At 41.0% G+C, this 23179-nt stretch overlaps 1 protein-coding gene across 12 annotated transcripts in view; it reads left to right on the top strand.

The window, feature by feature from the left end:
- Positions 1-23179, top strand: part of GLIS3 (GLIS family zinc finger 3) — a 666339-nt gene that overhangs the window by 628990 nt on the left and 14170 nt on the right. For all 12 annotated transcript variants that reach the window (XM_047422890.1, XM_011517763.3, NM_001438912.1 and 9 more), the window contains one exon: positions 5292-5467. In XM_047422890.1, coding sequence (XP_047278846.1) covers positions 5292-5467 — 176 coding nt within the window. The remainder of the gene's footprint in view (positions 1-5291; positions 5468-23179) is intronic.

Below are 23179 nucleotides of genomic sequence, written 5' to 3'. Positions count from 1 at the left end.
TCTTTATATGATTTATATTCATTTGGGTATATAATGGAATTATATACCCAAAGTAATGGGATTTGGGTACATAATGGGATTTCTGGGTCAAATGGTATTTCTGGTTCTAGGTCTTTGAGGAATCACCACACGGCTTCTACAATTGTGTAACTAATTTACATTCCCTCCAATAATATAAAAAATGCCTCACTTTCTGTTGAGCCTTAGTGTTTATATCTGAATAGTCAAAGAAGGAAGGAGTCTTAAGATTTTCTAAGAACTCTATAGACGTTCTAATACATTGCTGGGACCACAGTCTTACACAGCTCTCGAACACAGGGATACATGTTAATGTCAGGGATGCCTTAAATGTACATTCAATCGATCATTCCATAAACATGTGTTGATCACCCGGAAGGCATCAGACTTTCATTGTATTAAGTACTTTGATATTCCTGACTTCTCAATTTAAAATTATTCCTAATCCACCCCGCCCTTTGCTGTCTCCATGTTTTTCTCCATAGCATTCATTTCCTCTAGCCCAGTAGATACATTGCTTACTAAATTTCTTCACTGCCTGTCTCCCCTTACTAAAATATACGTTCCACAAAGACAGAGATATGTGTCTTTTGTTGCTCTATCCCTAGTGCTTAGAACAATGCCACACATTTAGTGCTCAACAAAGACCCCTTGAATGAATAAATGTCACCATGGACTTTAGAACCTTCAGTGAAAGTTGAGATAACCTTTATTTTATGCTTGAAATTGATCCTGGGAAAAGGTGGGGAATTTACTTGTTTACCCAGCTAGTAACAGACAGACCCAGCATCCAAGCCCAGGTGGGTGTGACTTCTGGCCTGTCTGTCTTCTCCTTTGCCCATCTGCTTCTCCTGCCATTCCCACTTTTTCTGCACATGAACCTAAGCAGTTCTCAGTGTCTCAGGGTCTACGTGTCTCAGTTGGGAGCTACTGATATGAGAAACAATCTAAGTTTGAATGCTGTTGGGCCACCCCACTGCATGGCTGGGGAGTTCAATGATAACAGGGGGTTGGGGCTGAGCAAGCAATGGAGAAGGGCATAGAAGGGAAGGAGAGTGGCCAAGTAAATACCCCCAAATAATCAGACATTCTTTAAGATAGGTGGAGATACATATTTGCAGAAATGTTTTAAATGTTTCCTCATCCCCCAGAGGTTTTTTTTTTTTTTTTTTTTTTTTTTTTTTTGACAGAGTCTTGCTCTGTCACCCAGGCTGGAGTGCAGTGTCACTATCTCAGCTCATTGCAAGCTCCGCCTCCCGGATTCACGCCATTCTCCTGCCTCAGCCTCCTGAGTAGCTGTGACTACAGGCACCCACCACTACACCCGGCTAATATTTTGTATCTTTAGTAGAGACAGACTTTCACCGTGTTAGCCAGGATGGTCTCAATCTCCTGACGTCGTGATCCACCCGCCTCGGCCTCCCAAAGTGCTGGGATTACAGGCGTGAGCCACCACGCTTGGCCCCCCAGAGGATTTTTTATGAGGTTTTAAAATCTGTTCCCCTTCCCTTTCTTTTTTTCTTTTGCATGCCATTGCTCATGGTAGGGTTATACAAACTCCTCTACCAAATGAGTGGAAGTGTTTGACTCAGTTATCTGGTTAGCTTTTGTGCGATCTGTTTCTGGTAAGCAGTAATTTTTTTTTCTAGTCTGTTATGTGCCTATTTAACAGAGCAATCATCTATTGTTTCAAAGAAGTATAAAAGGCTAAAGAAGAGACTAATAAGCCATGTCCAGTGAAATCTCTGAAGTGTCAACTGCAGATCAGCAGCTAGAGAACAGGGTTGGACCTAGAAAAGATGTCAGAAGGTGTCTCTTCTGGCTCTTGGACACGCTGTAACTGAAGATGAATGGGAGTGATGTCATCTTGATCTGACATAATTGGGGAATAAGATACTCCATAAGAGGGAAAATGGCAAATAACTATAATTTATCCTCGGCATTACAATGTTTTGTTTATTTTAGCATCAAAAAAATTTAATTTACCTTCATTTGATTTAAAATAAAGTCTCAGTTAACTTTTGGGGACAGAATATTCAGAACATATTCATTTTGATGTGTGTGTGTGTGTGTGTGTGTGTGTGTGTGTGTGTGTGTGTGTGTGTGTTTCGAAGAAACAGGGTTGGAAAGTAGGTGCAGACACTTAGAAAATGGGGTTCTGAGTTCCCCATCCTGCCTCCAACAATAGTGAAAACAGTTTATTTTTGCTTAGTGAGCATCTAAGTATGTGTGTTTTCTGTTTGTTTGTTTGCTTTTGCACCAAATAAATAACCTCAGACTACTTGTTAGCTTGTTGAGTCACTCTCCTGGCATCTCTCTTGCTGAGAGAAGAGTTGTCCATTACTGTGTTTTGACATTCCCAGGGACCTTACCTCAAACAGGAAGACTCTCTCTTCATCTTCTCCATGCCTCTCCTGTCCTCTCACCCCTGATTTTAGTTTACTATTTCTACTCTACTATGAGCTGGTTAACAAGTAACTAACTTTATAAATATTAAATTTCAATTAATACATTTTGAAAGATTTTAAGTATGGTACTATGTGGTGTTTTTACACAGTAACAAAATGGATTCTATCTGCCGTACTTGAAAATCAATCCTATATATACACTTACTTCTTATGCTGGACTTTTTAGTGGTGGCTTCCTATCTACTTCCTTGTTCCTAGCAATTGTCTGGATAATTGTGATCACTTCTTGTCATATTTTATTTCTCTACATGTATAAAAGTTAACATTTTTGTACTATTTCTTTCCTTTTCAAATCAAAGCCTACTTTAAATGTGTATTTTACTTAGAATAGTTTATATTTAAATTTCTATTAATACTTTATATGGGGTGTCATACTATGTTTTGAAATTATATTAACTTTATATTGTATAAATTCATTTATTTGACTAACATAGAGGAAAATTCAGCCTGAATTAGGAAAAAGCAAAATCTTGAGTCAGTTGAAGCCATGATATTTTATTCCTTCATGTCCTTGAGATAGCAGTGCTAAAACCATGGTTTGTACCTATCATATTTTTTTCTTTATTCAATGATATTATTATACTGGGTAATATTTGGTAGTCAAGAGAGCATGGCCCTGGTTTGGAACTTCCATGGATGAGTACATAAGAATGATTTTAATCAGCATATAATTATATAGAATCATATATATATAGGATCTAGATATAGATCTACTTGCTGACTTGCCCATTCACACATCTCTGTGTCCCATCAGTCCTCAACAGAAAGAGGATAGCAGATATTCCAGAAGAAGGGACTGGAAAACCATCTAGAGCAAGTTGCATCTTTGATTTACAACCTAGGAAACAGAATTGGGGAGCCGATCAAAGGATCTTGCTCCTTTGCCCCAGAAAACAAAACTGGGACACCAGCAATGACTGTTAAATAGTACCATAGGTTGCCTTGCAATTCAGATCCTTCCCGCCTCCATCTCTGGGGATCTTTAAGGACCAGGGGATTTGGGATTAGGTGTTAACCTGGATTCCTTCTGCCCCTAAAGTCTATGATCTCACAATTGCTCATCGCTCTCCCACAACCTCAGAGCAACTTGTAAGACACGTTAAAAACACGTTCCCCCAGAAAATAGCCTTCATATGAGGAATCCTGGCAAATGAGTTTTACTAGATGTTCTCAGGGCAGTGCCAGGATTTGTTTGCTGTGTTTTCTCTCAAGCTATTCAGCAGATCTTTTCAGGGTAATACCAGTTAAGATGATATGCTCAGAAAATGTGTATTTACTCAGCACGGTGCAGTCACTTACTATTCTCTTTCAGCAGAATGAAGATGTAAATGATCAATTAAACAGGCATCCCAACCCAGCTGGTTTGTTTAAGCTCCTCGCCTTGACTTCTTTTCCCTAGAGGTTAGCGAGTCCTACTCCTACTTTCTTGGTTCTTACATTCACTTTCTTCTATAGTCTCATCACACCTCACATGGGAAAAGCAAAAAGAACATGAGATTTTTGTCCCATGCTTTCTTACTGCTACAGTACAAACATAGAAACTCTGCCTTATTAAATATTCTGGTTCAGAATGTTTCCAATCACTTTATAAGCTTGACTAGTTCATCTTCCCTTTTTATCATCTATGGCCCTCCACAAAAGCCCAGCAAAGTTAAAGCAATTTGTTCCTGTGAAATAAGCAATGTAAGCAGATGGTGACCTATACGTGTTACTGCAAAACAAAGCCTGTCTTTCTACACAGTGTAAGGAACAGCTGATTAAAAGTTTTCAGCTTACTGGGACTTTTTGAGGAAACTAAACAATTCATTTGCTGCTTCATTTTACTGCATTGACAGACTTCCTGCTCCTTTCTCCCCTATATTCTGTCAGTCCCCTACTGAACTGGCACCTGGAGGATCATTTTGATATTTGATAGACATTGCCAAACTGTAACATTGTTCTAACAATTACATCTTGCCTTCAATGTTAGAAAGCATAAACTGTCATTTTAAACATAGTGAGTCAGGTCTTTCCAATTTTCCTTCACAATTGGAAGATCAATGTACAATCATCCATTTCATATCCCAGGTTTCTTGACAACATCTCCTTATTTAAACATCAACATGTCCCCCACCCCAGAAACCACCAATAGTCTTACTGTGATTGGCGCATGTGACTCCTACATCATCTTCCTATCATACCCTCAGGAACACTCTTTGCCAAGCACGGAGCCCACGCAGATTTCGTGGGTTGTGGGTTTCAAGCCATACTTGACCTTCGAGGTTTAAGTTAATTCATTCTTGGCAAAAGCAAATGCATTGTTCAAAGAGAATAGGATTAGAGAGGCTCATAATAAAGACTTGTAACAACACTTCTTGGACCTCAGATATATCTTACAAAACAAACAAAATGTTTGTGAGCTAAGTGTAAATGATTCAGAAACATACGGATCAAATTTCCCCTTAAATGCAAATAGATTTTAAAAATTAGCAGAAAAAGGGCTTGGCAAAAGATGTACTTTGAATTTCACCAAACATAGTGTATTTGAAATGCAGCTTAGAAATCTTGAGAAACCCAAACTGTGAGTAGGTTTTCCCTTTATTGTACTTGTTTATTCCCTCTGTATCTCAGTTGAGAACTCAGTGGTTAAATGGCAGTGGGGAGGGAGAGAGGGTAGAGAAAAATCCTGAAAGATTTTTTTTTAAAAGGCTTGTTGTCACGCTCTTGTATAGCCAGAATGGGAGGTGAGAATTTGGCTTTGGAGAGTTTGTCTTTGTTCCTGCTGTTTTATGTCCCTCATGTTTCCTTTTATAATTGTTTTCTCAGGTTTGCACCTTCTGCTCCATCTCCTCACCACATCAGCCCCCGGAGAGTTCCAGCTCCTTCTTCAATACTGCAAAGAACACAGCCTCCCTATACCCAGCAGCCATCAGGTTCACACCTGAAGTCCTATCAGCCAGAAACAAACTCTTCTTTTCAACCAAATGGTATCCATGTCCATGGTAAGCAAGAAGCTGGCAGTCCCTTGAGTTTTGAAAAGTGACATTGTGCTGTTGCTTTTCATCTTAGTTACCTGTCGTGGATTTCAGATGCTCTGTTCTACACCAGGCTTAGGCTTTCATGACTTGCCTCTAAAATTTCACACTTGATAGGCATGAAATCCTATGGTATTTTCCTGACTTTGGCCTGATGATGGTATGATTTATGACACATCGCACTGGTCAGCTCAAGTTGCTGGTTTTTTCATTGGCCAGGGCTCTAACACCAGCAATAGCATCCTGTTTCTAAACAATAGACAGCCCATGGAGAAAGAAATGACAGGAGTTCTTGTGCCCAAGCATGCCTCTGCTCTGCTAGGTTTTTGCTCTCATTCTCATAGGTCCACATCCTCTCCGTCCTTCAAGGCGCAGGTGGAATGACACCTCCTCTCTGAAGCCCTTCCTGATCCCCCAGCTGATGTCATCTCTCCAGGCTCTAAACTCTGATTTTATATCGCCTGTCTTTCTCTGGTAGTATTTATGCTTCCTCTACCTTGTGTTTTACTTATCTGTGAATAAAACATACTTTCACTATTAATGTGCAGACTTCTTTGTGAGCATTTTCTGACCCATCAGAAAATTATATCTTTTAGGGAACTTAACACAGCTCTTCACAAGTGGCAAAGAGACAGATACTTGTTAGGTGAATGGAGGATGAAAAGGAGAAAAGGAAAGCAAGAGAAATGGTAATGATTGTCTAAATGTGCAGATCTTGTGTTTAATGGGGAATATGCATAGAGAACTAAGTCTTAGTTTCTTTTCTTTATTTAGACTCATTTTGCCATTTCAGGCACGTATCTTAGTGAGCATCCATAGAAAGTTGAATTGCCAAGTCATATAGATTTGAACTGTCACAGGCTTTTACTTCCTAGGGCAATCAGATCTGTATAAGCAGAAGAGATACTGTCCTTTTAGGCTGAATGTTTCAACTTCTGAAAAATACTACTGTCCTCTACCTGCCTCTTGCTGATGCCTGAATTTTCTCTGTATGAGTTATACTTGAAATTAATGGGTGATGTTCCCAAACAAACAAATCTAAATCAATATGCAAATTGAGTGTGAATAATTTTCTAAGATGGCAGAATCAACTAGTACTATGGAGCTAGGCTTGGATAAGAACATCAAAGTAGGCTGGGCATGGTGGCTCACGCCTGTAATCCCAGCACTTTGGGAGGCCGAGGCGGGTGGATCATGAGGTTAGGAGGTCGAGACCATCCTGGCTAACATGGTAAAACCCCATCTCTACTAAAAATACAAAAAAAAAAAAAATTAGCCAGGCGTGACGGCGGGCGCTTGTAGTCCCAGCTACTTGGGAGGCTGAGGCAGGAGAATAGCATGAACCCGGGAGGCGGAACTGGCAGTGAGCCAAGATCGCGTCACTGTACTCCAGCCAGGGTGACAGAGCGAGACTCTGTCTCAAAAAAAAAAAGAACATCAACGTAAAGGCCTGAACAGCAAAGACGAGGTGATATTAAAACAGCAGCCAGCTGTAGGAAGGAAGAGACCTTGAAAAACCAGAGCTATTGGTTCTGGCTCAAAGTTCCGTCCATCTCATCTCCCCACTTCCCCAGTGTAGCCACACAAACCCTCATCAGAATTTGTACTTGTACCATTCTGCAGGCCCATGGTCATTTTTACCTTCTGCTGGCTATACATTGTTTCTCAAGCTTTAGTTATGTATTTATTCAACCAAGAAATACTTCTTGAGTACCTACTGTGCACAAGACAAGGCATCAAGGCATGCAAAAGACAGTCAAATTGAGCCCTCTTCCCTCTGAGGAGGGCCTGCCAGTCCAGTCGAGGAGTTTATCTACTCTGAAAGAGAACCAGGTCCCCTGTGCCATGAAGCCATCCTCACCACTCCAGGCAGTAGATGCACAGCCTGAGTGTGGGCTATGTGAAGTGTAGAGTAGGCCATTGATTCTAAGACACAAATTCTTCACCTTCACATTTTAACATCGCTGAAATCTGGACATAGCTCACAGTGGCATCATATAATTGGCAGTGATTTTTCTTTCTGGTGCTATCTAGAGTAATGGAGCATTTCACAGTTGATGGTGTCAAAGTTCCAAGAAAATGCAGTATAACACATTTTGATTACAACTGTGAAACACATTTTTAAAAATTTGAAAATTGACCTATGTGTAGAAGAAAAATTGGAAGGAAGTTCTCCAAAATATTGACGGTTTTATATCAGGATGGTAGGATAATGGGTGATTTCTTCTTTTTTCTCTAAAGAAATCTTTAAAAAGTGTTTTGAAATTAGACCAATTTGAATGCAAACACTAGTCTACCCTGAACTGTGTGACTCTGGGCAAATCATGGAGTCTTAGTTCACATTTGTTAAGTGGGGGGCATTTCATCTATCTTCTCTCTTCAGTTGTTAGGAAGATTTGACAAAAAAAGCACCTGGCACAGAGTAGGAGCTTAATTAATTTAATGCTTTTCCTTCTATTCCCTTCTTTTTTAAAAAATTAGACTCTTTGAGAATAGGGATAATGTTTGTAGCCCTAGGGCAGGTATAATACTTGGTGCAAAGTAGGCATTTAATAAATATTTACTGACTAAGTGATTGACACTCCCTCATTCAACAAATGAATAATGAACAAGAGGATACAGAAAATGGGATCTACCCATTATTTTCCCCTACCTCTTGGCAAAATACTCTTCTTCCACATTTCTTTTTTTTAGTTAAATAATGAATGTATTGTCAACTTGAAATTGTTGGGATTTTTTTAACTCTCACATTAAAAACAATTTACTTTTTAGAGACAGGGTCTTGCTCTGTCCTCAAGGCTAGAGTGCAGTGGCACAGTCATAGCTCACTGCAGCCTCAAATTCCTGGGTTCAGTCTTATTTTAGCCTCCCAAGCAGCCGAGACTGCAGGCACACACCACCACACCTGGCTAATTTCATTTATTGTTTTTGTAGAAATGGAGTCTCACTATGTTGCCCAGGCTGGTCTTGAACTCTTGGGCTCAAGTGATCCTCCTGCCTCAGCCTTTCAAAGTGTTGGGATTACAGGTGTGAGTCACCTGTGCTGGGCCCTAACTTTCACATTCTAATTGTTAAAAAATTCCCCATGGCCAATGAGAAACTGCTAATATCAGCCCTAAAAATAAGTTTAAAATATAGTTAGGCAAATTGAGAAATTATGACTTTCTCCAGGAAGATGGGCCAGTGACTGTTGCAATGAGGTTGCAAAGGGCGTGCCCCTGTATTAGCCATTGGTCCACTGCTAGTAGTTAATTGGTAGGTATCCAGATGTAGCCTTACTTCCTTCTCCAAGCATTTTCTGAAATTGTTTTTCTGGAACTTTGTAGGCAACATTTCTAGCGGTTCTTATCTACTACTCTTCAGGGTAAGGACAAAATTTATCTACTATTTTTCAAGTGGGCAATACAATGCTGAGGGTAAAATGAGACCTTCTTAATGAGTTGCATTTATTGATCATGCCTTTCAGCTTTTGTTGGACGAGTTTGCTGGAGTTGTACAGCATCTTGGTAACAGGGAACACCGTCACCTAATAAAACTTGATTTTTAAAGCCCAAAGCAGTGTCAGGGTTGCTAATGCAATAGCTCAAGTGAGTGTTTGTTCTCTCTTTCAAAAACTTCGTGGTTTTAATGAGTGTAGTCACCCCCATTTCTTCTATACTCCCTGCCGTAGGTAGAGGTCAGGGAGAAATACCATCACTGTATTTTTAGAGACAAGAACTGAGACAAATAAGAATATAAAATGTCTGGGCATTGCTACCTTAGCAAACTATGCAGGTGCCTTTATCAAAACGTCTAAATTTCCAAGCCATATTCTTTTTTTTTTTTTCTTTTGGAACGTAGTCTCACTATGTCACCCAGGCGGGAGTACCGTGACACGTTCTTGGCTCACTGCAACCTCCACCTCCCTGGTTCAAGCAATTCCCCTGCCTCAGCCTCCTGAGTAGCTGGGATTACAGGCGCATGCCCCCACATCCAGCTAATTTTTTTGTATTTCTAGTAGAGATGGGGTTTCACCATGTTGGCTAGACTGATCTCAAACTCCTGACCTCAGGCAATCTGCCCACCTTGGCCTCCCAAAGTGCTGGGATTACAGGCATGAGCCACCACTCCCAGCCCCAAGCCATATTCTTAATCAAAAACATGTTTCTAAGGCAAAGGCACACTAAAATAAATATACATTTATATTTTTCCATGGGGAAATGTAGATTGCTCTGTGTGTAGATGCTGTTGCATTACAGAGAGCTATGAAGGGTTACAAGTCAGAGGGGCTTTGGTCTTCCAAATGAAGAAGATGAGATCCATCAAGTTTTGTTAATCGTGCTGTAATACTAAATGATACTGAGCCTAGACATTGTGTGCTCTCCCTATATTTTTGTTGCGGCATTTTGTAAAAGGCACACTTTGAAAGATTACTAGCACTGCTTTTTCAAGTTTCCTTACCTAGTGAATGACCCAGGACCAGAGCTCAGGTTTGTTGACTCTGCATCCATCTCATTCATTCATTTTGCCTTCATTAGTACAGGGAATGAGGTATAATTTCCTTTAATGTTTGAATCTTGGTAGTATTTACGGGTCTCCATTCGGGTGAGATCTCCAAGGCAACTTCTTAGTGCACTTTAGTCCTTTATTTTAGATGTAAACATAGGGACACTCTGCAATCATGTAAGCTTGTTTTTCGGTCTTTTCTTTCTCCTTAGGACACTTCTCTTGCCCAGACAAGCTTCAGAATGTTGCCTGGATTAGTTGCCCAAGAGTTGATATGTGTACATTTTGTTACTGGACTAATGGATCATTTCTTTCTAAATACCCTATTCACTCCAGGATTATCAGCATGCCACGAGAATTCCTACAACAGCATTTTCACAACTTTCCTGCTTCTGGGCCCATCAAGGAGACACCAAGTTCAGTTCAGCAAGTGTTCACTGGTTACCCACTATGTGCAATGCAAACATGAATGTCATTTAATCAACGCACTGTGACATATGCAATAAGAGAAGGTGCAAAAGGCACCTGATTTATTCAGAAGAAGGTGTCAAAGAAGGGTCTGTAGAAGTGATACTTGAAGAGGGTTTTGAAGATAAATACCTTATTGGGCAGGCCAAGTGAGTAAAGGCATTCCAGGCAGAGGGGAAGCAAAGAGCACAGGTGAGAACGGAAATGACACCGTGGCGTGTGTGTGCACAGAGGGAAGAGTCAAAGGGATGGCTGGAGTACACAGGTTAAGGTGTGGAGTAGAGGAGGAAGAGAATGGAGAACTCACAAGGCCAGCTCACGAAGGGTTTTGTGCCATGCTAACTGTAACCTATCGAATGAAGAAGTCAGCCCAGTATTTTAGGAAAGTCAAGTAGAGTGCTGTGTAGAGACTGGAATGGGAGAGGTAGGAACATTAAGCTCTAACTGTTGGGATTATGTTGGGCCACATGTACAGAACACCACAACAGTGACTTATTAAAGAGTTCAGTTCACTCAGGTGCAACTGGTTAATAGGGGAATGATGTCAGGATAATGTGCAATTGTGTTTGTTCACATACAGTCTTTCCTAGACAAAAGCTGGAATAGCAAGAGAAGAGAACAAAAACGTCCTCAGCCTAGCTGCTGTCCAGACAGGAGCCCTTTCAGCTCTATTTTAATAACATTTGAAATGAGCACAGTCCCAGGGGGCTCCCTCCCAGAGGTGCACATCCAGCCTTGCGTGGCCTTCAGCTCATGGCAGATCACACGCCTTCCTGTGCACTGGGCCCTGCTATCACTTGTTGTTTCAGTACCTGTAAGCCAGCCTTTCCAGTCTATTTTGTGTGATTTTTAATAACCACCCAGGAGCCTATAGCCACACTGAACTGCCTGCCTAAATTTCCTCTTGATATTTTATTACTGCTGTAATTAGAAGGTATCAAAGATTTTCAGTGGTCTGACCCAATTTTAGATTTCTCAAAGACCTTATTTTTAATACACATTTGTGCAGAGGACAAGATTTTTCGGGGTTCATTTATCACGTTACAGCAACCGCACCAACAACCCCAGTGTGCAGTTTACTCTTCTCTCATGACAAGATGTCTTTTTTTTTTTTGAGATGGAGTCTCACTCTGTCACCCAGGCTGGGGTGCAGTGGCGCAATCTATGTTCACTGCAACCTCTGCCTCCTGGGTTCCAGCTATTCTCCTGCCTCAGCCTCCTGAGTAGCTGGGACTATAGACACATACCACCATGCCTGGCTAATTTTTTGTATTTTTAGTAGAGACGGGGTTTCACCATGTGGGCCAGACTGGTCTTGAACTTCTGACCTCAAGTGATCCACCCGCCCCAGCCTCCCAAAGTGCTGGGATTACAGGCATGAGCCACCGCCCTTAGCCTTCTCTCATGACAAGACGTCTAACAGGAAACAGTGCAAGGTGGAGAAGGAGCCTCACAGAGTCAGCAGTGCCCATGCCTCCTCCCAACTTTGTGCTTTGTCATTGTTAACAGGTGGCTTCCATCCTCCTGGTCACAGCATGAATGCTGATATTCTACACATCTTGTCCCAGTTTCAGGCAGAGACGAGGGTGAAGAGTAAAGGACAAGCGTACTCTTAGTCACAAGGCAAAGGGGTCAGGGAAGATGGATATTTTAGCGCATTGCCATACTTAACAAAACGGAGATTCCGTTCACAGTTTTTACTGGATAGGCACACCGGAGGGGCTGCCAAACACTCTAGGATGGTTTTCTAATCTGTAAAATGGGACTAATCACAGACAGATTCATTCATATCCTTCCTTGGAAGTCGGGGTAGACTACCCCATGTTTTCCCATCTCTTCCATTCTCTTAGGTTTCCGTACTTTCCACTGTGTGCTCTTATTTTGCATCCCTCTGGAGTTTCCAGTTGCCAACACAGAGATTTCTGTCATCCATGTACCACTTACTAGATTTCGTTAGGAAAACACCATGAAGCTACCTCCTCAGCCTGGGCTGTTTGAAATCAGTGCAGCAGCAGTGGGAAGGGGGCGCCCTCCCTCTGTTGTTCACGGCTCCTGTGGTTCCTGAGCTGTCTTTCCCATGATTTAAAGCATGCCCTGCCTGCAGGCTTCCTAAAGCAGGCCAGTCAGCTCCCAGACAATGGTGGCATTTTCTTACCTCAGTCTGGAGCTGTAAGCTTGTCAGTCCAGTTCAAATTGACTGCAACAAGAAACAAAGGGTTTCCAGCCACCAACAGGACTCCAAGAACAAAACACATTGTAAATGGCTTGTCCCACCAAAGAGCCAAAGCATCTTTCAAACTGTAGAAATATCAGAGCATTGATATTTAAATGGCAGCGAGGTGGCAAGTACAAGTTTAGCTAACTTCTTCCTCAGTTGGCTGTTTACTCACAGTGATTGTGCAATGGTACTTTCCAGCAAGATGCCTATGGGCTGTAGCCATGACTGATTTCGCTGCTGCCAATTTATAGTGTTAAATATTTAAAGGTTATTTTTATTTTTATTTTATTTATTTATTTTTTGAGACAGAGTTTCGCTCTTGTCGTCCAGGCTGGAGTGCAGTGGGGCGATCTCGGCTCACGGCAACCTCCGCCTCCTGGATTCAAGCGATTCTCCTGCCTCAGCCTCCAGAGTAGCTGGGATTACAGGCATGCGCCACCACGCCCAGCTAATTTTTTGTATTTTTAGTAGAGACGGGGTTTCACCATGTTGGCCAGGCTGCTCTTGAACTCCCGAGCCCAGGTGATCCACTTGCCTTGGCCTCCCAAAGTGCTGGGATTACAGGCATGAGCCACCATGCCCGGCCTAGAGGTTGTTTTTAAAGGCTGATTTTAAAGACAGTAAACACTCCCACAGAAAATTTCATCATAACTGCATATATGAGGTTATGAAATAATAAAGCAGTAAGTCAAGAAATTGTATTGCTTAGAACTTAAGCATTGTGTCACATCTTGAAATCCCAGAAAGATAAATATAATTGATTATAAATCAACATTGTAATAGATTTCATGGAGAAAGTTGTGACATATTCACAAAAGAAATGAGCCGATGAGTGAACTTCATGTTATTCTGATGTTATCATCAGCAGTCATAATCAGGAATAATTTTCCATATCAGCCATGATGTTATTAACGCTTACACAGTACCAGGGATTGATGATTAGATTTGGAGAAGTCCTTAATTACTCTCATATACTTAATTACTACAAAATTACCCCAAGAACAGTTTTACATAAGTAGTACTTGAGAAATTCAGACTGTGTTCTAATTCTAAAAAACAAAAGTTAATTTTAGGTGTATATGCAGAGTGCAGTAAGCATTTCAACATGCTGAGTTTTGTGGAAGGGGTGTGAGATGGTCATGTGAACCAGAAAAGGTGTTGGAATGATTGATTATGGAAATGACTGAACTGTGAATAATCTACATATATAACTAAGCATCTGCACACACAAGCATGAGTGCATGTGCACCCACACAGATTAAACTCACCATATTAATGTGCTATGTTTGATGAATATGAGTATTAAATGATTGAATCAACTATTGCTAAATTGTAAGTCTCAGGACAGGGACTACATTGTCCCACAATATTCTGCACACTGTAAGTGCTTAATAACTGCTCATTAAATAAATACGAATGAACAGAAAGAAAAGACAAGAATAAAGGGATTTTTGCTTATGGCTTCTTAGACTGATTGGCAGAGCCAGTCCTTGGCAAAATTGTGACTTACAGACAAGTTTATCTGGGCCCCTCTTTTCTCTGGGCACTTCCTGCCTGTTTCTCTGCCCCCTCTTTATTTTATTTTTTTTTATTTATGTATTTATTTAATTTTATTTTTTCTGAAACAGAGTCTCATTCTGTCGCCCAGGCTGGAGTACAGAGGCGCGATCTCGGCTCACTGCAACCTCTGCCTCCCGGGCTCAAGTGATTCTCCTGCTTCAGCCTCCCGAGTACCTGAGATTACAGGCGCTTGCCACTGCACCTGGCTAATTTTTATATTTTTAGTAGAGACACCGTTTTGCCATGTTGGCCAGACTGGTCTTGAACTCCTGACTTCAGGTGACCCCCCTGCCTTAGCCTCCCAAAGTGCTGGGATTACAGCCATGAGCCACCTCGCCAGGCCCTGCCCCCATCTTTAAATACCCAGTGCTTACCATCTGCCTGAGACCTCTTCCCAGAGGAAATAGGATGAACTAACAATTCACTTACACATTGAGGTAAACTTAATATATTACTGCTTCTTGTCAGTATCTGCATAATAAAAGAGGATACTGAGACACAGCTGGTACTGAGTGTGTGGTAGTAAAGTTCTGGGCCATGGCAGCCCTGTGGAAGAGGGATTGTGAGGAATTCACAGTGCCCATAGATACCAGTCCTTTGCTTAAGAAAACATTTTCAGTTTGGAGGCAAGAAGATGGCAGTTACTAACTGGAATCCTATGAGCAGGTCATGCAATGCCCTGATTCTGAGGTTCTCAAGTTTAATAGATGATACTGACACCCCTGTTTCAGACTTGGCACAAGAATGAGAGAATGCCTGGACTACAGTAGATGCTCACGTCATTGCAGCTGTTATTGTTATTTTTCTACTGTGTATCAGATACCTGGTGCTCTGAGCAAGTCCAGAGCAACCTCCCAGGTGAGACAATGGAAGAGCTTAAGTACCATGCCCTAACTCATATACCTAGTGAGTATCAGAGGTGGTTTTATAAACCCAGTCTGACCCCAAAGCCCACAATCATACTTTGTGGTGGTGCCTACTGATACAGTATTATGGAAATTTTTAGTTACTTGGGAATTGCTTTTGCTTGAAAGTTAAGTACGGAACCATAAATATGCGGTTCCTTATAGGGTTAACATTCTGCTGTCAGTAGAGGTGCTGTGATTTGCAAGATGAAGTCATTTCCCACCAACTGCTTGACTGCATGTCTTTGGACACTGATAGCTGAAAAATCACTTTTTTCTGTGTCAGGCAGTGTAGTGAATGCCTGTCATGCCCTTGCTCACTAATCCTCCATAACAACACTATAAAGAAGGCATTGTTTACTCCCATTTTACAGGTGGGGAATCTAAATCACTGTGGTGCCCAGAAGTTTTAAATCTTGAAACAGTGGAGCTGGAAATTGCACCCAGGACCATCTGACTCCAGAGTTGTGCTTTTAGCCATTCTGCAATGCTGCTATTAAGCCTTTGATTGGGGGCTGTCCCCATGGGGAGGGGAGAGCTCTCTATCTAACGGCTCCCAATGGGATTACCCCACTGTGTGTGTGTGTGGGTGTGTGTGTGCGTGCGTGGGCATGCACGTGTGTATGTGTACATGCCATTATGCACTGTGCTTGCTCAAGTACGGGTATGCTGGGGGAAACTTTGGAAGCCTAATTACTATTATAAATCAACAAACCTGGGTTCCTGGGCTTTTAGCACAGTCCTTACATACAATTTACAAATTCTTACTGACTTTTTATATTATAAAAGAAAAATTTTCCTTGTTCAGTTTTTTAAAGTCCTTACAGTACTGAAACTTATAGTTTAAGTCCCCTCCCAGCCTTATGTTTGCCCCAATTCCACTGCTCAAAGGTAATGACTATTAAAAGATTGGCAAGTATTCTTTTAGACCTTTTTAAATGCTCATAGAAGGAGACATAACTGTGTCTATGTATATGCCCATATGCCCTGTTATAAAAATGGCCTCACGTTCTGCACCTCACATTCTATATTTTGTTTTATGACTTGATTTTTTTAAACTTAGTCAAATATATGCTTTTGCTTTCCAGGTCATTGCATATAGAGTCTTCTTAATTGTACAGCTCTCATAAGAATAGGTCATCATTTTTTAAATCATTCCCTTATTGATGAACATTTTTTTCATTTTTTACTTTTTCTAGCAATTCTGTTAAATCTCTTCATATATATATGCATGTTTATATAAACACTCCTGTACACACACACACACATATATATATATCTTTGCACAGTTTCTTAGGAAATATTTCTAAAAGAGAAAATGCTGGATTACTGAGTTGCACATTTTAAAGTTGGATAGGTATTGACACATACTCTTTTAGGAAGGCTATACTAATTTAGACTCTCATCAGCAGCACATCACAGGGCCCATTTCCTCACACTGAATGTTAGTATTTTGCCGATTTGTAAAGCAAAGATTGGTGACTTGCTTTAATTTTTCCTTTAGCTAGTAATGTAATTGAGCATCTTTTTATATTTTCATTGAACACTTAAAGACAGTATTAATAGTAACAGGGATTAAATAACAAGAGCTAGGACCTGGGTTTTTACATTATTTAAGTATCTTTCACCCTGTCAGTCAAGCTGTGTCATTTGCAGCAAGACAGTTTGTTTTCCTGATTGGAACTCAGAAATTTATTGATGAGAAAGAAATATCCAGAAAAATCCCTTATATCATTGACCATCATGACTTCGTCAGTCAACTTAAAAATGCCTATAGAAAGTGTTTAATTAATATTATTATAGACTTAGCACTTTTTCTTTCTTTGGGGGAAGTAATGACATCTTTCTAGAAGCAAATGTTCTTATACCTGAAACTCATGAAGTTGGCCTCTAATGAAGGGAACTCTTAAAATGAATTAATTGTTTTTCTGATAACACTATTCTAGGCGTTCCTCTGTTGGACTCTTCAGGGCTAAACATGTTAATGACAATCTATGTCTTATATTTCTTATATTTTAAACTGGAATTACCCTTATAAATATGGTAAACAATTGATGGTTTAGAAGAAGAAAAAAATGTAACAGCTATAGATGGAGCTTCCTTAAAATACATCAGTGAACATCTGGGTTGCTGGTAGCGAGGCCACTCTCTTCATAAAACAGAACAACAAAAACAATAGAATGCTAGAACTGGCTTGATCTGTCCCCATTCACAGCCTCTGAGCTCAGCAACATGTTACAAAACAATCCCAATTCCCTTAAAATTTCTCGTTGGTTTACGTAGAATTGTGAGTGCTCTTTCTGATTACAGGAATTTCCCCTCTCTAACCAGATTGTTCAGACTAAACTCTTTATGTCATTCTTTCGTGAGGTCTTTGAGAACTAGGCCTTACAAGATGTAAGTCTATTGAAATAAAAACATTTCGGTATTTTTTCTAGTTCACTTAAGTATGACTACTGAACCCTCCCTTCTTACGTTCATCACCAAACCCAACCTCATCTCACACATCCCAAAATAAGTTCTTAAATTTCCTTGCCATTGTGACAAAATCATTCAGGGAATCTGAATTGGCCAAATAATTACCCAAGGTTCTTTGCATCTGTGGATCTGGGCTGATGTGGTATTTTTGTCAATACCCATGAGGTCAGTGGCAGTACCTACATTCATATATCAATATATGTTTTATAAATCACTCTTACATACATAATTTTTATCAGTGCCTAGTAACTATGGGTATACAGAAATTGCCCAATAAATACTTGTTGGATGAATGCCTGACAAGATACAAAGGCAGGCTTCCTGGTAGCCAGATGGAGATAACAGAGATCCCGGGATCCAGTGATGTATGTCAGGTTTCCCAAATACAACATCCACTTTCCTATCTCAAAGCCACTTATATAGGTTTCCATACTCTTACTTCAAGCCCAAATGTAATCTTAACATAATGTTCCAGAGAGTAGGTTTTGGGGAAGCCTAACCATATATAATAGAGACTCAGCTATGAAGCAGAGGTTCGGAGGGAAAAATAATTGAGTCATTGGATCACTGGCAAGGATGAGGTAGGGGCCCACTTTTAGATTAGAGTGCTGGAAATTTGTGTAATAACAGACTCGGATTCGAAGAAGCAAAAAATCACCTAGTTAGTAAAGCGGATGTAATGTGGGAGTTTGGTTACAGCTGGACAACAGAAGTCTAAGCCACAAGATCAGTATGGGACCAACAGTGAGAACAAGACTTCTGAGTCACTCAAATTAGGTCCCATGATTTCACCTTGACCAAGAACTGACATGTGAGAGACAGGCATTGGGAGAGAGAGCCAGGCAAGTCATCTGGATCCATATCTACTGAGAGTGTAATTCAAGGCCCTTTTGGAACAATCATCACCACCTTATCCCCAAGAGCCCCATCTACCAGCAGAAAGGGCTGGGAGCCTGCCCAAGGGGAAGAGATGCCCATGGGAAGAACTCCCTCTCTCCATTTCAAATGAAATTAGAGCCGTTCTGTTGTTGTTTTAAATTGGTATTTCACTTGGAAAACTTTCAGATGTTTGTAAATCATCTAAAGATGTTCTCTTAGAGCCTCTCAAACTTTTAAGAAATACCTTATTAAATATACAGAATTCCAGGCACTTCTTCCAGAGTCGGCCGTAGAGCTCAGGAATGTGCATGTTCAACACACATGCCAAGGTGGAGCTGATGCCCCCCAACCCTGGTAAGAATCATTGGCCTAGACACCAAGTGTAGGGCTCAATGCCCTCTCACCGTGGCTCCCCAGTCGGAGATAACCCAAAGGAAGCAATTTGCCTGTGACTCAAGAGGTTAAGACTCTCTAGCTTCCTCCTCCCTTTATCTCTTGGGGAGGTCTTTTTGAGACAGAGTCTTGCTTTGACCCCCAGGCTAGACTGCAGTGGTGTGATCTAGGCTCACTGCAACCTCCACCTCCCAGGTTCAAGCAATTCTTCTGCGTCAGCCTGCCGAGTAGCTGGGATTACAGGCACCCACCACCATACCAGACTAATTTTTGTAGTTTTAGTAGAGACAGGGTTTCACCATCTTGGCCAGGCTGGTCTCAAACTCATGACCTCGTGATCCACCCATCTCGGCCTCCCAACATGCTGGGATTACAGATGTGAGCCACCGCACCCAGCTGGGGAAGTCTTTTAAAAAGCTATAGAACCAGGCTGGCTCACACAGATTTCAGGGGAGGCTGAAGGGAATTGAGATGCAGCAGCACTTCCTTTTAGTAATCCATGAAATCTCTGTCTGGAATCTTCTCTGCCGGATCTTTCTTACAGCAAAGCTTAGTTGGAAAGACAAGGGCATTTAAAATTAAATCTTCATTCTTTACCATGCTTCCCTTGTTCTGTTTTAGGTCCAAGTAGCCCTGGTCAAAAGATTGCTTGTGAGTTTATGGGAAAATGACTGATAGAACCATGGGCAGATTTACCTTTCTACTCAGAGAAGGGAGGATGACAGGTAACACCAGGCTTATAATGAGACAGCAGGAGCTAGAATTTTTAGTGGGTTTTACTGTTGGCAAAATACTTTCGTGTTTATTATTTCAGTTGATCCTTGCAGCCACCCAGTAGGGATACATATATACTAGCAACCAGTGTTCCCCCTCATAGAAAAATTCCCAACTCTTTCTTGTCAACCTTGGCAAAGTGTTTGCTCCACACTGCATCAGATACAGAATATCCAAATCCTCCACCCTTCATTCTGATCCTTACTTGTATCCAGGAATTTTGAGTTATAGGGAGTAGTTGGCAGGTGATGGAATGTGGGTGGCTACTAATGGGTAGCTGGGCACTGAATCCTTTGTTCCCTGTGCTGCTTCTCCTTCCCACGTTGAGGATTCTGATGCCATGTGAGTGTTACTGTCTCTTTTTATAAATAGGGATCATAGGCTCAGAGAGGCTAGAGTTCCCTCAAAGCCACACAGCTAGTACATGGCAGAGCTGGCTTTCAGATCCATCTCGGACCCTCAGGAGTTCTTGGTTTTGAGAATCTCTATTTTATGTATTTTCCAAATGTGCATTATCACCATCAGGACTCACTGAACCATTTTACTATAACTGTATATATCCACACATGGCAATTACTGAGACACACTGCAATTAGTTTACTTTGGCAGCTTATCATTTTGAGAATTTGGAAGCCATAGGCCACCACGCACTAGGGTTTTGGGTGGTTTGGGGATATTCAAATGAAAACTGATTACATCTTTTAATCAAGAGTGCTTTAAGCATGCTGCCTTCTCACTCGGTTTTTTCCCCCCTATTTCCCTATTGTCGCTTTTAGCCACCTGCTCTGCCCGTTCCCATCCCCTTGTTTGAACCTTTTGCAGATGTGAGTAGCAGAACCTCCTCCTTCTCTGCTACCTCGTCCCTGGAAATGAGTATATAAGTCTAAGGGCCAAAATGTGGTTCACAGTGATAAATGCTGTTTCCAGCTTGCTACAGACCAGATGAGGTGCTGTGAGGGGCACAAGTGGAGAAAGTACCCAGCATGTTCAGAGTGCAGCTCGCTGTGGCCTGCAAGTTGGCAGCAAGAGCTGTAGATGAAAATGGCCTTGCTTCTTGGAACCACGTGGACTTTTCTAATTAGAAGCCTTCATGCTACGACCCATCTCTCCAAGGACAAAGGGACCAGGCGGTTGCTCCAGTGGTCAACTTTTGAACCACTGTCATGGGTTCCTTCAAAAGAAATGTGCCTCAATGGAATTTTCAGGGTTATTATTTCCATTATCTTCCTCTTTCTTAGTAGAGTAGTTGCTTAAATGTCAGTCGTAAATAGCTCGAGTGCTTTGCAAGCTGGTTCAGTTCTCAGCCCGCAGAAAAATCTGTCTTCCTAACACAGTCTGTGAGCTGTTCCTGCAGCTTCCCCATTTATAGACTCTGTATTAAAATGAAGAGTCAGTTTTTATACCTCTTCCAGGAGGATGCTTAGTAGACTCCTACCTCAGATGAAGAGCTGGATGGTACTGATGGCCAAGACAAGCAGCCAAGGCAAAAATGATAACCAAATTGTGGCAATTTCACTTTTAAGAGCAGTATGATTTTATACTTAATGGTAGTAGGTTGTGTAATAAAAATTACTTAAGAACTGCTTATGTGTTACACAGAACCTCTACATATTTCTAAGCTTATTTCATGGTTACATAGTTGAACTTAAGGCCTACTATGTGCCAGAGAATGCACCAAATGCTTTTATAAACACTGTTATACATAATATTTTCCACAACCCTATAAAATTTCAAAGAAAATGACGCTCAAGAAAAAATCATTCATCCAAAGACACACAATTCGTTAATGGGTCATCTGGGATTCAGACACAAATCCAAGTCGTTAATGCAATGGATGGAAATAAAAGAGGGGCTAAATCAGAAAATTGGCCATGAGAAATTTCTGAAGTGTCTCTGTTTCTACACTTCAGGGTTTGTAGAATTTTTCAGTGATTAGGTGATTTGATCAATTTTACTAATTAATTAAATACTTTTCTCCCTAATGAGAATATCTGCACTTTCCAAAATGTTGATGCAGTCTGGGTAACTTTGCCTGCAACCTGGCAGTGAGAAACCTCAACAAAAGTGGCAAGATTGTATTTAAATTGATTTGGTCATGAGCCTGAGCCCCAGTAATCTGACATGAACTATGTCCTTGAATAGATAAAAATTTGAGTCCTGGTTCTGAAACATGGTAGCCATGAGGATTTGGATAAATTCAGTTATTTTAACTTCTCCCCCCTTTTTTTTTTTGGCTGTAAACTTGGGACAATATTACTTAACCAAAAAGTTGTTTTAATGATGAAGATTTTCTATGTAAAACACCTGGGGCAATGCCTGTCTCTGAGTAAATAACTATTAGTTCCTTTCCTTCCTTATGACAGAATTCTGAGTGGTTGGTATAACACTAACCAAAATATTTTTCCAAAATGCCAAAGCAAGGAACCCGCCAGTAAGAAAGCTCTGGACTTAGTAGGAGATTGTGTGATTGCTGTTTTCATTCTGCTGCCCATTTGTTTTAATACAAAGGCTCCATCCACAAATAATTCCAAATATCTAGATATTTAGAAATATTAGAATGGTTGGATGAATTTTGCACTTTTATTGACATGATATCATATAAACAAAGTATTGGTTATAAAGGCAAGGCACTCAACATTTCCTCTGCTTCCATCTCATTGTCTAAAATGGGAACATTTGTTTGAAGTACCTGCTTACAGGACAAAAATGTCAGAAGGCTACTTAAGAAGAAATTTTTATGGTATTCTAATATTAAGGTACCATGTAGGTAGTGAGTGTATGATTCCCTGGGCCTTTCTCTGATTTCAAAGTTTGAATGTATAGAATTAGGCTGAGTAGATGCGACCCCAAAGACTATATTCTTATGCCCTCTAGGAGCTTTTTCAGCAACGTTATCTGTGTGTTCTTTTTTTCTCATTGGGTCTGTCGTGGATTACAGAAGGTTTTCCAAGGCAGCAGGTCAAGGGTCCCCAGAGAGCAAGGGCTCCACAAATATCCCGAGTGTTGGAGAAGAAATGAAGGGAGCCAAGGGGAGTGAGGACATTTATCTTCTTTCTCCTCTGTCCCTTTTCCTTTCCCATCAAAATTTGTATTTTCAAAGACTGTTTAGTGTAGTTGGTTGGGGGAATTCATAACTACCATTAGTGATTGAGAGCTTTAACCTAGACAGGGAGTGTTTGAATCCCTGGGAAGCACCTAACTGACCCAAGTAAACCTCCCACTCCTAGGCTGTGTGGAAGCGTATTTTTAGCAGGGATTCTTCTTATACTTGCTGTTGTCTTTGTCATCTGCTTTCCCATGCCCATTCCATTCACCAGGAAGCAGAATCCCTGGATTCAGCAAACCTTCCTTTATTCTACCCTCTGACTTTGCACTCCAAGGCTAAGTGAAACCAAAGAATCTTCTCAGCAGGAAGAAAGTGTGGGTTGGCCAGGGATGAGCCAGTCCCACAGAGAGCTGAGGACTGTAGGTCTCTCTTAAGTACTGGGGTGTATGGAAATAAGAAAGATATCACCTCAG

Source organism: Homo sapiens, chromosome 9 (assembly GCF_000001405.40).
Source record: "Homo sapiens chromosome 9, GRCh38.p14 Primary Assembly".
Classification (NCBI taxonomy): domain Eukaryota; kingdom Metazoa; phylum Chordata; class Mammalia; order Primates; family Hominidae; genus Homo; species Homo sapiens.
Note: the sequence above shows the minus strand (reverse complement) of the source record. Positions and strands in the feature narration are given on the sequence as shown.